The following is a 12992-nucleotide window of genomic DNA, read 5'->3' as shown; positions in this document are numbered from 1 at the left end:
TGTGATAAAATTAAAAATTAAAATGAGTCTTAAAGATAAGGCTTTACGTGTAGATGCACAATATATAAATTTACATATCTATACAAGGTTGTGAGGGGAAGGGAACCAATATTAATTAATTACCTACTATGGTATATAGAAATCCTGACCAAATTATGTATTAATTAGTCTTCCAAATAATCCTATATGAGTTATGCATGGAAAAAGTCAGGCTTAGAGAGAAACTCTTCTAAAGTCACAAGTCTGGAAAGTGGCCCAGCTAGGTTGTGAAACTAGATTTATCTGACCCCGGTCTCCTCATTCCATTGTACTAAGCTCATATGCACGTGAAAATGCGCAGACACGCACATGTCATACAATAGCCATATGGTAAAAGGCAATGGAATTACATTACTGTTAGAAACTTTTTGAGTCAACAGAAATGTATTTTTTAAAGGACTCAATTCTATTAAGGGATATTCTTTAATTTGTATGCTGACAACAGAATACAGTGTATGACTACTATCAAAACCACATTTAACAGCCTGAATTTTCATAATCAGAAATGTGTTTTGGGACTTGCCGGGGACAAATTTAAGAGTGATTCTTGATTTGTGTAAATTTGAGTGGTTTAATTTGTGTAAATTAAACCACTTAATATTCATCATACACGTCATATTACCTTAAAAAGGAAAACACCAACAATGTAACTTTGCACTTGTGAATCCACCAGTCTTCCTAAGCTCATCCCTCACCTTCCACGGTCTGACATGCCTGGCTCCCTCCATTAGGAACCCCCTTCCGCTGGCTTCTGGAGTTGCATTCCTCCATGGTTCTTCCTTACTATCTTGCCAGACTTCTATCTGCTTCCCTAGATCTTCCTTTCTTTTCTCAAAAGGCTCCATCCTCAACCATTTTTCCCCTATATTCTCTCTCAAAAATCTCTTTTCCCATCTCTTGACTTTTTCTTATAAACCAAAGACTCCCAAATGAGCCCTGGCCTTCTTGTGGAGCGCAAAGCCCCCTTCTGCCTGGGAGACAGCATGCTTCAACACTGCAAACACAGCACCTCTAAAATGTAGCTCCTTACCTCCTTCTGAGTTTCCTCCATGGGTACCACTGCTCTGGAAATCGCAGTGTCAGCTTTAGCTGTTCCTTCACTGAGACATCAGATTCTGTCAGTTCTTCCCTTTGCATCTATTCCTTTCCCATTTCATTGTTATCATCCATTTCAGGCCTTTTCTGCCCCTCTTTTTCCTTGGTGGGTTGTAGTAGCTTAACTGGCTTTCTGGCCTCTAGTTTCTGCCCTGCCTCTCCTCCCGATCTCCCCCCAAGCTACTCACAAGAGCCTGGTCCTGAAGCACAGCCACAACACTCCCCTGTTCAAGTACCTTTAATGACACCTATTGGTTAATGCATTCACAATTCCTAGTTGGCATTCAAGACTGTATCATTTGGCACTGAATGTTCTCCAGTTTTGATGCCTGTATATAGACCAGTTCTAACTCAGTTGGACTTGATGCTTTTCCCTGAATATGCTCCAAGTTTCTCCATCTCCTACTAGTCCTCCTATCTCAAATGCCTCCTCTCCATCTCTTTTATTGAAATGCCACATCATTCAAGGACTTGCTTAGATGCTTTTTCTCAAGAGTCTCTTGACTGCCAGGGATAAAAGGGACCCCTTCCTCCTCAAATTACCAAAATATCTTCTTTTTGCATTTATCACGTGGTTATTTCTGCATATCTTCTTTCCTCAACAGAGTCTGAGAGCGAAGAGACCAGATTTTTGTGGCAGCTGAATTCTCCATTCTCTCTAGCACAGTCATACTTCTAGTATGCTGTACAGCATTCACAGAACACCTTCAAGTTTACAAAGCATGTTCACATTCAACATCTCATTCGTTTTATTTGGGGATTAAGTTATTACAGGTAGTATTCAAGTCTTGCGATTTGATTTCTGTGGCTTACTGCAATTCTTAGAGCTATCTCTAATTTTCTACCTTATAAATTAAACAAACATATTTCTTAAATTACTTTACTTTTGAATACCCACAGTCTTCTGTGGCCTACAAAGCTAAAAAAAGAGAACATTTCAAACCAAACAAAGCCCCCTTGCCAAACTGCTTTTTCTTGGATTATGAGTTAAATGTACAAATGAAAAGGCCTCTATAAGCAGGTAACGAGAATGACAAAATCAAAATTTTAAAGAGAAGTGTGAAATTCCTTTCTGAAGATATTAAGACATTTTAAATGGCTTTCCTATATATCCATTTGGAATTCTACGTATGGGTCAATCTCCAACATCCGTGGAGCTGACATTCTAGCATATTAACAATAGAAAATTGCTAACAGTTGAACAACAAATTCTTTGCTAAGAGACTGGAAATGACTAATATGATTGTAAAAACAAATCTGTCTGGTCTTGAGTACCCAAGTGCCTTGTAGAAGCTCAATAAACATTTGTTGATGAAAAATAAATGAATGAATTCAGAGAAGGCCTTACTATCATTTATAAATTGAGGGCATAAGTTTTAATAGATAGGTGGAAGTATAGATTTAAGTGGAGAAAAAAGAAAAATTGAATTTAGAAGTAGGAATTTTGGTGTGTCTATGACTCTGGTCTGTCCCTGCGATGGACCCCACTCTGCAACTGCTGGAGAAGCAGGGGAAGAAGGTGGGGGTGAATGGCAAGCACCGTCCATCCTACTGTGCCTCTCTGGAATCAGGCTGCAAGCTCCTCCAGGACGGGCACTTTGCAGTCCTGGCACAGAGCTGTGCCCACAGAAGGGTCTTCATACATGCAGTATGAGATGCAAAGCTCTCCATGACCTGTCTCTATTTTCACATTTCAATCCTTTACGCCTATTCTTCCTCACCTCATAGGGCTATCGTGAGGGGTAAATAAAAAATACTGTGCTTAAAGCCCTTCACACACTGCCTAGCGTACACATGCACACAAATGCTCGACAAATGGTAGTTGTTATTGTCACCATCTGGGACCTTGTATATGGCTCCAAGGTAGAGCTTAGTGTGCTGGGCCGTCAATATTTGTCTGCGACAGCTGCAAGTGTCCCGGGGATGGTCTCTTCACATTTGTATACTCGGTGCCTAGCAGAGCGCTCACCTCACAGAGGCCCTGAAGCTGGCTATGTGACTGAGCAACGAAGATTCAAGGTCCAGTCCTGCCTTGACCCCAACCCACTGGGTAACCCTGAAGAGTCATTTAAACTCTCCGGGCCTCAGCAATGTCAGTGCATCCTTCCAGCCTAGGGAAACTAGAGATCTGTGAAGAGACATGTAAAAGACCCCACGACAATTGCTGACAGAACTGGAACAAGAAACCAGCTGTCCTAAAGCCTTGATCTCCTAGTTCCCCTTCATCACGGGGGCTTCACACATCCGGTCTCCCAGTAACATATCACTTGAGTGTCATGGTCACTTTGTAACCCCAAAACTTGGTGGATTGCTGTCTTGAATCATATACCCTTTGGGAGTCCCTCAGAAAGACCATTTCCTATCTCATGTAGACTAAGGAGAGACGCGACTTTAGTTACCTCAGTTAGAACAGACCAGCTTTAACAGAGTGAGATTCCTGTGCTTTGGAAGAAATCACTTGGAAATCCTTGGTTCTGAGTCCTCCATTTCTTCCACATCAAGATCTAAAAAGAAAAAAAAAGTGCAGTGTCCCATGACTAGCTGCTAGGATTTCATCTTTTAGCAACAATAATAACTGCAATTAGCACATATTGAACACATAAGTCAAACACCCACAAAGTGGTTGACATATGTGGTTTCGTGTTGTCTTCATAACAACCTTCAGATGTAGGGAACATTCCCCCATTTTACAGCTATAGAAACGGAGACTCTAATGGACCACGGAACCTGTTCAAGGTCACACAGCTGGTGTATGTGACAATTAGGACTCAAATCCAGATTCAATTGATTCCAAGGCCTGGGCTATTAACCAGTAAGTCAGGGTTTTAAAAACATTTCAGACAGTGACCCACGGTTTTAAAAATTTACATTATATAAACCGAAAACCAAAAGTCTCATAAAACAATGCTTACCCTTACTATGTGCAATGCACGTTATTTTTTCTATTCTTCTCTGTATTGTACTATATATTCTATATCTTTAAGAAGATTTCCAGTAGCAACCCGCTAAACTGATCCCACAATCTTAGAATGGGTCCCCCACTCTTGAAAAACGCTACACTTAGATATAGCGACTCACTAGCTGCTTCTCTGAAACCAGGACAAAACTCTTCCACATTTTGTAACCATGAGAATCTGACCAAGTAGTTGAGCTTCACAGAAGAAAAGTCTTTAACCTTTAAAATATGTATAAGGCACCATAACACATATCACCTATAATCGATCCTTAGAAGGGATACTCAATTAGGGCCAACGTCCAGAATGGAATTAGGCACTTACCTACCGCAGTGCAGGAGTTATAAAGTGGAACCGCGGACAGACTAAAATCTCAGGTGATTTATGATGTACCCTATAAAAAAAGTGGCTAACGGCGGGCGGTTGTGTTGTATGTTGTACCAACAGAGCAGACCTTACTACTGCAGAAGTAGGCGGCTGAGACTGCAAACCCCTGGGGGCAGGTCCCTGCCTTTGCACGTCCCTTTCAATTCCAGGGGCTTGGTGTTGCATCAAGGAAATCATCAAGTTCCCATAGGGTCAGGACTAGGGTCCGATTCCCAATCCAGGAGACGGGAGGTGTGACTGTCAAAGCAGTGCCCGAGCCCGCTGGACTCGAGCCCACCACGTCCCCAGCCCCGGGAGCGCATTCCTCCTCGGCCCCCGCCCTCTAGCACAGCCGCGCAGTTGGGCCACGGGATGCGGCGCAACCTGCCCGCACTCTCCAGCCGAACCCACCCCGCCCCGCCCCGCTCCGGGCGCGGGCCCCGGAGTCCGGGCACCTGCGGGCGCTTCCTCCCCGCGGGCAGCTCGGTTCTGCTGCGTTTGCAGAGCTCAACCCTTGCGAGGGTTTCCCCAGCCCGGCTTCCCGGCTCCCTCCAGAAGCGAGGAGCGATCGGGCTGGCGGCGCCACGGGCGCCGCGCCCGCAGGCCGCGCCTCGCCCCGCCCCGCCCCCGGCCCCGCGAAGACCCTGCGAGGGGCACTTACGGGGCTCGGCTCCTTCGCCGCCGGCGCGTTTCCCCGGGGGTCCATGGTGCTTCCGGACCCGTGAGTCCGGCCGCAGCGCTGCACAGCACCGCCCAGAAAATGGACGCCGGCGGCTCGGCTCTGCCGGCCCGGCCCGCCCCCGGCGCGGGGCAGAGGACGCAGCCCGTCCGGGAGGAGGTCGGCCCGACCCGCAGCCCCGCGGGCCCGGGGCTGGGGTAACTGCGGCGCCAAGGACCAGGCCTCAGGAGGGCGGCGGCGGGACCCGTGAGGGCCCCGTAAGGCCCCATGCCCGACCCAGTGGCCAGCCGGGGCCCCCCACCAAGGAGGCAGCGGCCTCAGCCTCCTCAGGGAGGACACAATTCAGAACCTGCCGAAGGACAACGCAGTTAGGACTCTGGGCCACAGAGCCTGGTGACTGTCAGAACAAGGCCTCGGGCCGCAGAAGGGTCCGTGGGCTCCTGTTCGAGACTATGCACACTGGATTCGCAGAAAGTCGCTGTTTCAATTGCATCAAATTCTCAGGAATAAGGAGTCACCTGTGTTTTTTCCATGGCCGTCAAGAGAGGCCTAGATAGATTTTTCCCAACGTGGCACAGAAACTATTTCACGCAAAAGACCCAGTCCTCTTCTTTAAATGAAGGGCCCTGGCCGCTGGCATCTTTCTTCCAAGATCCAGGGGCTGCTCATTGAAAAAGTATTCAGAGAGGGCCTGCCACAAGCTGGCCATGTGGAGCTAATGCACGAATAATGGACAGGTGTTTTTTTTTTTAAATCGTCCATGTTCCCTGTGTTTTGACAGTAGAGTCTTATTCTTAAATTTTCTTAAAAAAAAAAAAAATTCAAGGCCACAGCTTAAAAGGATTAAAAAGTCAATTCTTTACGTTTTCAGCCAGGAATCTACAGTACTTGCAATTCTGCATCCCAGTTCCTGACCATGTTTTAAGAATGTGATCACTTGATGAATAGATTCCAATATTAAATATAAAGCCAACAAAACATTTTAAATAATGAGGGAAAAATATATTGACTCCAGGTCAAATTAAATAATCATGTTATTTAAAAATAAAAGGAAGAGTTTTGAAGGCCGACAGTTTGGGCAACATGCATACACATGTATATTAGCATTTCCCAACCTCCTCAAAGCCAAGCACCCTTTATTCTTCCTCCATATGCCATGTGTTCAGAAAGATCTACTCAACTAAACTGCATTTATTAAGTAATGATTCATCTTCCCACTTAAAAAAAACAAAAACAAAAACCTGCAATGTTTTTGTATATGCAATTACCAATCAGAGCTTTCTCAAAACCTGAGCTAACCTGTTGTTAATAGTGGATTCCAACCTAAAAAATTTGTGATCTATTAATAATTGCATGTTTGTATGTTTCCACTGAAACTTTTGGAAACTCTGAAAATTACTCAAAGACCTCCAAGAAAACTGAGGCACATGGATTAGGAACCAGGGTTGGGAAGTGCTAGTATGCAGTATTGCTCTCTGTGTTTCCCTGTGACTGGAAGGTGGGAGGTGGTAGGGCAAGGCAATTCCGCTTTGGATTCAGCCTGCCTGGGTTTAAAGCCCAGCTTTGTTGCTTACAAGGCCACTTTAGGCAAGTTAGCTCAACTCCCGTGCCTTCTTCATCTATAAAATGGGACTAATTTTAATATTAGTGCCTACCTTGTAGGGCTTTTTAAGAACTAAATGAGATAATACATATGAAGCATTTGCAAGAGTACCTGGTATTATGTAAGCACGCTATGATTGCAGGCTGTTGTGGCTGCTGTTAGTACTGGAAGTTAAGTATTCAGAGTTCTAAGTTCCTACCATCCAAACAGTGAGAATCATAGCTACTGTGTGTAAAACAACCTTTACACCCTAGAAATTTTCCATGGGTAATCTGCCAGGGTCACATGGTGAGTGACATAAAGGGATTGAAACACAGGTCTGAATCCATATCCACTTTTTTGTATTGTTAACATGTTCCAGGTGGTACCTTGACCAGACTCTGTCAACAGCTTGTTAAGGGTAAAACCGGCTCTGGGTTTCCTAAGAGGCTTAGCAAGTGAATGGGTCTTTACATCCACTTGGGAATTCACAAACAGTGGCATTTCTTTCTTATTAGAGCCAAATGTTTCTCCAGAAGTGGCTAGATTTCCCCAAATTGTTATTAATAACTAAAATATCACAGCAACAGTTTTAAACAACACAGTCTAAAAATTACATAATCAACCCGTTCTTCAAAATTTTCCATCCTTCCTCATAACCAGTCACAGATTCTCTCTCTTAATCATTCTTCTGAGTATGGGGAACTATCTGGAAATTTCCAGGAAGGGCCCAAGTTGTCATAATTATTTTCTTTTCTGTAAAAGTTTATCATTTTCAAGACCACTAAACATGATGTGTTTCCTCTATCTTTATAATACTTCTCATTTCAATACATTTGCAAAAAAAAAAAAAAAAAAAAAAGCAAGACTTTCAAGATTATCTCCTCTCTTAAATTCTTAAATTTCCACCAGTTCTTCACTATTCCCACAATATGCTTCCTTATCCTTTTCCAGGGGCCTTTTCTAGAAGGCTTTCCTACCTCATTCATTTAATCTCCACACAGGTTTCTGTTATCCTACAACTGCCTGCTTGCACCTTCTGACTAGGACTCTTGGCCAGTTTAACACTTACTAACGTCTTCTCTTTAAGGTTTCAATATTATAATATATTAAAAGACTAAAGTATCTTTTTTAAACCTGCTTGCTGTCTTTGTTTCCTACTATTGGTTAGGAATCTGTTAACTCATTCCAACTCTCATACTAGCAGCACTCTGTTAATTTAATTCGTGGTTTTACTTTTTTTCCTCTTTCCCTCAACCTGGGTTCTCACCAAATTCTATAACTTGGCCTCCCCTAATTTGGCTGCTTATCTCTTTCCCTTCAAGCACTTTAAGGAAGTCTCTTTCCAAATCATTTTTTCTCATCTCTACTACATTCTTGAAAGGCTACTTGTTGTGTGTGATGTGTGTGTTTGGTAGTAAATCTACCAAAGCCCTTGAAGAGGCAATGTTTAGAATAGAGGTGTCAACTTCCCATGCCCGTGGGAGCCAGGCAGATAAATGTGTGAAACTGCTTATGGGAAGTGGCATGAATTTTGGCCTGCAGGAGAATTCAAGTCCCACCTAAATGGGGTTGGGAGGTGGGGAATGGGGATGGTGGCTACCCAACCCCGACCAATTGTTGCCAGGTGGAAATGCCAGATCTGCAGCACTTCCTAAGGGAGTCTAAATCAGGATTTTTATATAAAATCTATGAAATGTTGACTACTTAAAAAAAAAAAAAGGAATATAAATCTGATCAAGGCTCTAGATGTAACTCCCAAGTTACAGGAAATCTCTGAGATAGAGAAACACACAGAACAGCACCAAGGGAGGTAATCACCAAATTTCAGATAGGAGGAAACTACAGTTTCTTCAACAAAATTTTACAGCAATAGCAAGGAAAAAAAGAGAGGAGAGAAACCTATAAATTAAATGAAATTTAATAGTGTCAATTGCACTGTATGGACTTTCTTTGGATTTGAGCCTTGAACAAATAAATTGGTTTTTTAAAAGATGACCTCTCATTTTTTGAATGCTATGATGTTTTGATGTTATTAAGGAATTATTGTTCTTTGTTGGTGTGGTCTAGTACTGTGGTTATTTTTCTTTTTTAGTAATCCACATTTAAAAAATATATTTTAAAAGTAATCTACATTTCTAAAACTTTTATTTCAAAATATTTCAAACTTATAGAAGTGTTACAAGAACAGTGCAAAAAAAAATACAGAAGGAGATTTACATGAAACAAGATTGCCTAGCAGCTGATAATTGTCAAAGAACTGAGGGTTCATTAAACTAGCCTCTACTACATATGTTTAAGATTTTCATAAAGTTTTAAAAGGTTATGTTAATAAAAGTATTTAAAATGACATAAAATGCTTCTGCTAGGATGTTAAGTAGACAAGAAGATACATAGTTTGTCTATAAAATACTATCTCAACAATTAAAAAATGCACCATGCGTAGATAAAAGGCCAAAATGTTCAACACTCCAAATTACCTCATAATAGGGATATACTACTTTTATAATTTGAAAAAAAAAGGTAATAATCATTTTAAAACCAAGAAACAAAAATATTGGCGACTCATTCAACTAAAAACATTGTTAGAAGTGAAACAAACACACAGGTGGACTGAATCTGGCCAATAGGGCCCCAGTTTACAGGTTTCCAATTAGAAAATGGGCCTGCAAAACCCATTTGGTCCCTCGGGCCACATCTGGCCTGATACCTGTTTTTGTGTGGCCTACAAGCTAAGAATAGTTTATACATTTTTTAATTATTGGGAAAAAATCAAAAGGAGAATATAAACATAGCTCGTTTTATTGCACTCCACTTTATCGGGTTTGTAGATACTGCGTCTTTTTTTACAGGTTGAAAGTTTCTGGCAACCCTGAGTCAAGCAAGTCTGACTGGTGCCATTTTCCTAATAGCATGTGCTCACTTTGTGTCTCAGTGTCACATTTTAGTAATTCTCACAATATTTCAAACTTTTCCATTATCATTATATGTGTTATAGTGATCTGTGATCAGTGATCTTTGATGGTACTATTGTAATTGCTTTGGGGTGCCATGAACCACGCCCATATAAGATGGCGAACTTTATTGATAAATGTTTATGTTCTGACTGTTCCACTGACTGGCCATTCCCTACCTCTCTTCCTCTCCTTGGGCCTCCATATTTCCTCATCTACAAAAATACTGAAATTAGGCCAATTAACCTTACAATGGCCTCTAAGTGTTCAAGTGAAAGGAAGAATTGAGCATTTCTCACTTTAAATCAAAAGCTAGAAATGATTAAGCTTCATGAGGAAGGTATGTCGAAAGTCAAGACAGGCCAAAAGCTAGCCCTCTTGTGCTAAGCATTTAGCCAAGTTGTAAGGAAAAGCTCCTGAAGGAAATTAAAAGGGATACTCCAATGAACACGGAAATGATAAGAAAGCCTTATTGCTGATCTGGAGAAAGAATGAGTGGTCAGGATACAGGATCAAACGAGCCACAACATTCCCTTTAGCCGAAGCCTAATCCAGAGTGAGGCCCTAACTCTCCTCAATTCTAGGAAGACTAGGAGAGGTAAGGAAGCTGCAGAAGAAAAATGTGGAGCAAGCAGAGGTTGGTTCATGAAGTGTGAAAAAGAAGCTGTCTCCATAACATAAAAGTGCAAAGTGAAGTAAGTGCTGATGTGGATGCTACAGCAAGTTATCCAGAAGATCTAGCTAAGACAATTGATGAAGGTGGCTACATTAAACAACAGATTTCCTATGTAGACAAAACAGCCTTCTATTGGAAGGAGATGTCACCTAGGACTTTCATAAATAGAGAGGAGAAATCAATGCCTGGCTTCAAAACTTCAATTAGGGGCTTATGAAGCTGGTGACTTTAAGTTGAAGCCAGTGCCCATTGACCATTATGAAAATCCTAGGACCTTTAAGAATTATGCTGAATCTACTCTGCCTGTACTCTATTAATGGAACAACAATGACTAGATGACAGCAGATCTAGTTTAGTGAATATTTTAAGCCCACTGTTGAGACCTACTGCTCAGAGAAAAGATTTCTTTCAAAATATTACTGCTCATTGACAATATACCTGGTCACCCAAGAACTGTGATGGACATGTACAAGGAGATAAATGTTGTTTTCATGCCTGCTAACACAACATCCATTCTGTAGTCCTGATCAAAGAATAATTTTGACTTTCAAGTCTTATTAAAAATATATTTCATAAGGCTATAACTGCCATAGACAGTGATTGCTCTGATGGATCTGGGCAAAGCAAATTGAAAACCTTTGGGAAAGGATTCACCATTCTAGATGCCATTAAGAACATTCATGATTAATGGAAGGAGGTCAAAATATCAACATTACCAGGAGTTTGGAAGATGTTGGTTCCAACCCTCATGGATGACTTTGAGAGATTCAAGACTTCAGTGGAGGAAGTAACTGCAGATGTGGTGGAAATAGCATAAGAACTAGAAGTGGAGCCTAAAGATGAGACTGAATTTCTGCAATCTTATTATAAAACTTGATCAGATGAGGAGTTGCTTCTTATGGATGAGCAAAGAAACTGGTTTCTTGAGGTGGAATCTATTCCAGGTGAAGACACTGTGAACCTTGTTGAAATGACAACAAAGGATATATGATATTACATAAATTTAGTTGATGAAGCAAGGACAAAGTTTCAGAAGACTGACTCTACTTTTGAAAGAAATTTCTACTGTGGGTAAAATGCTATCAAACAGTGCCACAAACTAAAGAGAAATCTTTTGTGAAAGTCAATAAATGCAGTAAACTTCACTGTTGTTTTATTTTAAGAAATCGCCACCCCAACCTTCAGCAACACAACACTGATTAGTCAGCAGCCTTCAACATCCAGGCAAGACCCTCCATCTGCAGACAGATTATGACTTGCTGAAGGCTCAGACATCAGTAGCATATTTTAGCAACAAATTATTTTTAAACTAAGGTATATACATTTTTAAGGCATAATGGTACTACACACTTAATAGACTACAGTATAATGCAAACACAACTTTTATATGCACCGGGAAACTAAAAAGTTTGTGCACCTTGCTTTATTGCAACATTCGCTTTATTGAAGTAGCCTGGAACCGAACCTGTGACATCTGAGGTATGCCAGTATTTCATGATGTGAAAATTATATGAAATGCAGATTTTAGAGTTTATAAGTGAAGTTTTGAGACACAGTCACATTCATTCATTTCTGTATCTGTGAATGATAGTATATCATTATTACTATACTTAATATTATATATTATTGTATTTTGAATTTCATAATACAAAATTTATGAAAATTTGCTTTGTCACTTGTTATATAAATACCTACGAAGTATCTTCAGTTTTGTCTTGACCCACTGTTAAACTAAATGTATAGAAGGCCATTGATTTAGACTGGCTCCTGCACTAAGCCCCAAGAGACCAAACCAAAATGGAGTCACTCACGCTAAAGTTCCACATCACCAAACTGAAATGAAGTTGTTTATCCGACTTGAGAAATTAGGAGAGAGATAATAGGCCAATTTTAGCCAGAATGATAAAGCAGTCCCCTCTGCTTTAACCTTTATAAGGAAAATTACCTGCAGTAACCTGATGTTAACCAATCTGCTTTTTGTATTATGTTATTTCCTTGTTCCTGCCTAAGCTACCTTATAAAAACCAATTGTTCTGCCATGCCCAACAGAATACCTTCCTATTTGTTATAGATAGCGTGCTGCCTGATTCACGAATTGCTAATAAAAACCAAGTAGATCTTTAAACTCAATTTGTTGAAAATTTGTTTTTTCATGCCATAAAGCCTAAAGTATTTGCTGTCTGATTCTTTACAGAAAAAGTTTGTCAGCCTCTGGTTTAGAATTTGGGCTTTCCCTGTGACCTCAAGGCAGCTTTAGTCAAAAGAGCACTGGTCTAGGAGTCATGCCTGGTTTCATTCCACCACTTAACTCTCCGAGAGACCTTAAGAAGTCCCATCTTCTCTGGGCCATGATTCCCTCAAAGATAGAGTATAGAGTCTAAAATCAATAAGGCAACAGAAACGTGTAGTTCAGATTCCCATAAGAGCTTAGCAGGAAGTACAGGGATGATGCAGTGCTAAATGCTGGTATGCCAGCCAGGTGTGGTTCTCCTGGAGACCAAGCGATTCAAACAATCAGAATATCCTTTGAGGATGGCTCCACAGGCACTCAGACTAGGGGCTGGATAGGCTGGTGAAGGAAGGAAGAGGAAGGCTCTGGGGGCTCCCAGAGCAAACTAGCATGCCTGCAGTGGGCAACCTGACTTTG

General features: G+C 41.3%; 1 protein-coding gene across 114 annotated transcripts in view, besides 2 other annotated features; it reads right to left on the bottom strand.

Annotated features, from left to right (window-relative positions):
* Window positions 1-12992, bottom strand: part of ZBTB38 (zinc finger and BTB domain containing 38) — a 125607-nt gene that overhangs the window by 42228 nt on the left and 70387 nt on the right. For 60 of the 114 annotated variants that reach the window (XM_047447856.1, XM_047447857.1, XM_047447849.1 and 57 more), the window contains one exon: window positions 3534-3638. The exons of 5 other annotated variants lie outside the window; for them this stretch is intronic. The gene's annotated coding sequence lies outside the window, so the exon portion shown is untranslated. Of the gene's footprint in view, window positions 1-3533; window positions 3639-4412; window positions 4552-5115; window positions 5217-5651; window positions 5804-11061; window positions 11307-12992 lie in introns of those variants that run through there. 49 more of the 114 variants (NM_001080412.3, NM_001387947.1, XM_047447863.1 and 46 more) reach the window with 4 other exon arrangements.
* Window positions 4820-5109: a silencer, noted in NCBI's record as "silent region_14776". NCBI's record gives its function as "represses an Ori minimal core promoter by ATAC-STARR-seq in GM12878 lymphoblastoid cells {active_cell/tissue: GM12878}" and the evidence as "EXISTENCE:reporter gene assay evidence [ECO:0000049][PMID:35858748]".
* Window positions 5190-5499: a silencer, noted in NCBI's record as "silent region_14775". NCBI's record gives its function as "represses an Ori minimal core promoter by ATAC-STARR-seq in GM12878 lymphoblastoid cells {active_cell/tissue: GM12878}" and the evidence as "EXISTENCE:reporter gene assay evidence [ECO:0000049][PMID:35858748]".

Source organism: Homo sapiens, chromosome 3, assembly GCF_000001405.40.
Source record: "Homo sapiens chromosome 3, GRCh38.p14 Primary Assembly".
Classification (NCBI taxonomy): domain Eukaryota; kingdom Metazoa; phylum Chordata; class Mammalia; order Primates; family Hominidae; genus Homo; species Homo sapiens.
This window is presented reverse-complemented; position numbering and strand designations above follow the sequence as displayed.